General features: G+C 42.7%; 1 annotated feature.

Annotated features, from left to right (window-relative positions):
• Positions 2492-3691: an enhancer, noted in NCBI's record as "P300/CBP strongly-dependent group 1 enhancer chr1:162389320-162390519 (GRCh37/hg19 assembly coordinates)". NCBI's record gives its function as "activates an origin of replication core promoter dependent on BRD2, BRD4, P300/CBP, MED14 and CDK7 cofactors, with strong dependence on P300/CBP, by STARR-seq in HCT116 cells {active_cell/tissue: HCT116}" and the evidence as "EXISTENCE:reporter gene assay evidence [ECO:0000049][PMID:35650434]".

Below are 4068 nucleotides of genomic sequence, written 5' to 3' on the forward strand. Positions count from 1 at the left end.
CACTTCATTCCTACTGTCTTATCGTAGGAGATAGCACTTTGTCTATCTCCTTAAAGAGCTAACTCATTGCATCACCATCATTCATTGAACATACTTTATAGTGGGACCCCAATATTCTTGGAATCTCCATGACTCTAAGGGCAGAACCGCCTATGTGAGAGGCAGTGTGGTGTGGGGGCTTCAGCAAGAGGCCTTGCCACCTGTTCATTCTTGCACTGCTACAAAGAAACACCTGAGACTGGGTAATTCATAAAGAAGTTGAATTGGCTCACAGTCCACTGGTTATGCAGGAAGCATGGAAGCATCTGCTTTTGGGGACGGCTCAGAGAGCTTTTACTCATGGTGGAAGGCAAAGAGGGAGCAGGACTGAGAAGGGGGAGGTGTCACACACTTTTATACAACCAGATCTCACAATAACTCACTCACTATCACAAGAACAGCACCGAAGGGATGGTGCTAACCCATTCATAAGAACTCTGCCCTCATGATCCAATCACCTCCCACCAGGCCCCACCTCCAACAATGGGGATTACAATTCAATATGAGATTTGGTGGGGACATAGATCCAAACCATATCACCACCAGACTGCCTGGATTTGAATTCCAATTTCGCTACTCAGTGATGAATGCAAACTGCCTAGCTTTTTGTGCCTTTGTTTTTCAGAAAATGGAGACGATCATTATAATGACCATATAGAGTTGCTGAGAGGATTATATACATAATGCAGCTGGCACGTAGTTAGGGCTTGGTTTTCTATTATTGTTCATATCTGAAAGATTCCACACAAGATGGCCCCTGTTTTGTCTGGATGGTGATATGTCTGCATGGGAGGCCTTGACCTTTGGCAATCATTCTGGAGCCACAAGAGTGTCAGCCCGAGGGCCAGCCGGTCTGCCGAGAAAGGAAAGGCAGAGAGAGAGAAAGAATCTACGTCCTTGAAAATGGCACTGGGCGGCTTTAACAACTGACCTAGAAGACCATTCCTCTTCTTGACTTCCAATTGGATGGGAGAATAAATTTCCTCACTCTTCAAACTATTTGAATACGGGCATTTTTTTTTTTTTTTGCAGTGAAAAGATCCTAACAAGTACCCTGGCATATGCAATTGAATTTTTTATTAGTTCAAATGTTATCTTCATTGATATTTTGAATATAATTACTCATCTACTAATATTGTGTAGATGTTTTATAACATCAAACATTGTGTAGATGAGCACACAATGAGTTTTATAACATCAAACATCCACTTAAATAGCTCAGATGTTTACCTGCATGTCACAAGTATGCTCTTGTTAATTTAACATCAAGCTATTATTTTGAATAACTAATATAGTTTCAATAACTAATACAGTTTCAATAACTAATACAGTTATGGAAAATAATAATAACATCCAATAATAATATTGGATGTTTCCAGTGTGGATGTTGACACCCACACTATCCAGTTTATATTGGAATCTACTGAATGTTTCCACAATAATGTTGACCTTCTACTACTTGTTGATCTCCTCTTACATTGAACTAGCAGCTTTCTTTTTTTGAGACAGGGTCTTGCTGTGTTACCCAGGCTGGAGTGCAGTGGCACAATCTTGGCTCACTGCAACCTCCACCTCCTGTGCTCAAGCGATTCTCCCACCTCAGACTCCCGAGTAGCTGGGATTACAGGCATATGCCACCTCGCCTGGCTAATTTTGTATTTTTAGTAGAGATGGGGGTTTCACCGTGCAGGCCAGGCTGGTCTTGAACTCCTGACCTCGAGCAATCTGCCCGACTCAGCCTCCCAAAGTGCCGGGATTACAGGCATGAGTCACTGTGCCCAGCCCTGGACTAGCAGCTTTCTGAAAGCCACTCTACCACAGATGTATTATCTCTCATTTTTCCTCTCATTTCTCAAATAAAATTTTAAAAGCCATGCTAAAACTGGATTAGTTATATAAAATAACAGCTTGGTGTTAATAAGAGCATACTTACGACATGCAGGTAAACTTCTGAGCTGTTTAAGAGGTGAATACAGATACAATAGCAATAGTATATCCATTTAACAGCTTGAACTATTGAATATACTAGAAAAAGGTTTTTATATGCATCATTTTATTTTAAAAATAAAATACTCAGAAGTAAGCAAAATGATAATAAAAAAAATCCCTGAAGAGTGCAAAATAAAAATCTCAAAACGAGCTGAGATACTCTAATCAAATATAAAAGGTCAACTTGGTGAGTACTGTGTGAATTTTAGAAGATGTGATTAGGAAGTTTGTTCATTAGGAATATATACATTTTGCACCTTTCTTCCCCATGCAATTTGGTTTAGGTAAACTGTGGAAAGAGAGTTTCTGGGGTGCCAGTTGAGTTGGTCTCCCCTGTGTGAGACACCCATGGGGAGCCATGGGCGGCCTCTGAGGAGAAAAGTCTCCTTATTGCCTTCATGCCTTTATGCCCCGAGAGCATAACTGCTCAGCGGCATGCCACAGGTTGCTCAGGGAGATAACACTCCCTTGAAGCAGTGGAGTATAATCAAACATCTTGGCTCCTCCTGAAACCCACTCCCACCCATTTCAGTCTGGATAAGTTAAAGATCTTAAGTAGTTTAGACATACACCTTTGCTCAAGGAAATTCACAGAAACTGCCACTGCTATACATCTTATTGAATGACTCACGAGTTCTCCTTCACTGATTAATCCTTTTCCTCATTCCCTCCTCGCCCTCCCATCTGCCCTAAGAACGAAGAGCTTGTAAACCAATAAACTGGGCGGAGCCCGAGAGCTCTGGGCCTTCAGCAAGCCTCAGCTGCTCCCATCCCCTGGACTCACCTTTTAAAGCTTATTCTGTCTCTTTCTAACTCCTTTGTCTCTGCCGGACTCCGGGTACCCTCTGGGTGGTGTGGGGCTGGTTTCCCCCAACAGTAAACAAGATGAGTCTTCTTGGAAGAAGAAACTGAGTTTAACCCTGAATACTTGACCTACAAGGCTTGGTTGCTGGGCTAATTCATAGTGAAGAGGATCACGCTATTCAACGTACAGACACAGGTGAGTGAGGAGAAGAAAATTAATGAAATCTACCTCATTCTCCACAGGAGGAACCTGGGTTTACTTCTTAAGGGGACCTGATTTGTTAGGTGTATAAGTTTCCTATTGCTATTGTAACAAGTTACCACAAACTTTGCAGCTTAAAACAACACAAATTCATTATCTCACAGTACCCTTAGGTGAGAAGTCTGGCAACTTTGGCTAGGTTTCTGCTTAGAATCTCACAAGGCCAAAATCAAGATGTTAGCAGGCCTGCGTTTTCTTTAGAGGTCCTAGGGGAGAATCCATATCCTTGTTCATTCAGGTTATTGGTGGAATTCCATTTAAGGTCATTGTAGCACTAATGACTCATTTGTGTCTTGTCTGTCAGTTGAGAGGCATTACCCGTTTTTAGAGGCTTCCCACATGCCTTGGTGCACGGCCTTCATCCTCCAACTTCAGAACCAGCAATGGTGGGTGACGTCTCTCACAGGCTTCCAATCCCTCTTCTGTCTCTTGATTCCACTGCATATCTCTGACCACTATTCTCCCTTCTTCTTCTACTGTTAAGAAATCCCATGGGGGCTGGGCACAGTGGTTCACGTTTGTAATCCCAGCACTTTGAGAGGCCAAAGTGGAAGGCTCACTTGAGCCCAGGAGCTCGAGATCAGCCTGGGCAACAAGATGAGACCCCCATCTCTACAAAAAATCAAAAAATTAGTTGGGCATGGTGGTGCATGCCTGTAGTCCCAGCTACTTGGGTAGCTGAGGTGGGAGGATTGCTGGAGGCCAGGAACATCAAGGCTGCAGTGAGCCATGTTCACGCCACTGCACTCCAGCCTGGGTGATAGAGTGAGACCATGTCTCAAAAAAACAAACAAACAAAAAAAAAAAAGAAAGAAAAAGGAATCTCATGATTTTGCATTGGGCCTACCCAAGACAGTCCAGAATAATCTCCGTGTCTTAAAGTCAGCTGATTAGTAATGTTAATTACATCTGTCATGTCCCTGTTGTCAAGAAACGTAACATATTCACAAAATCCAGGGCATAAGGAACCATTA

Source organism: Homo sapiens, chromosome 1, assembly GCF_000001405.40.
Source record: "Homo sapiens chromosome 1, GRCh38.p14 Primary Assembly".
NCBI lineage: Eukaryota > Metazoa > Chordata > Mammalia > Primates > Hominidae > Homo > Homo sapiens.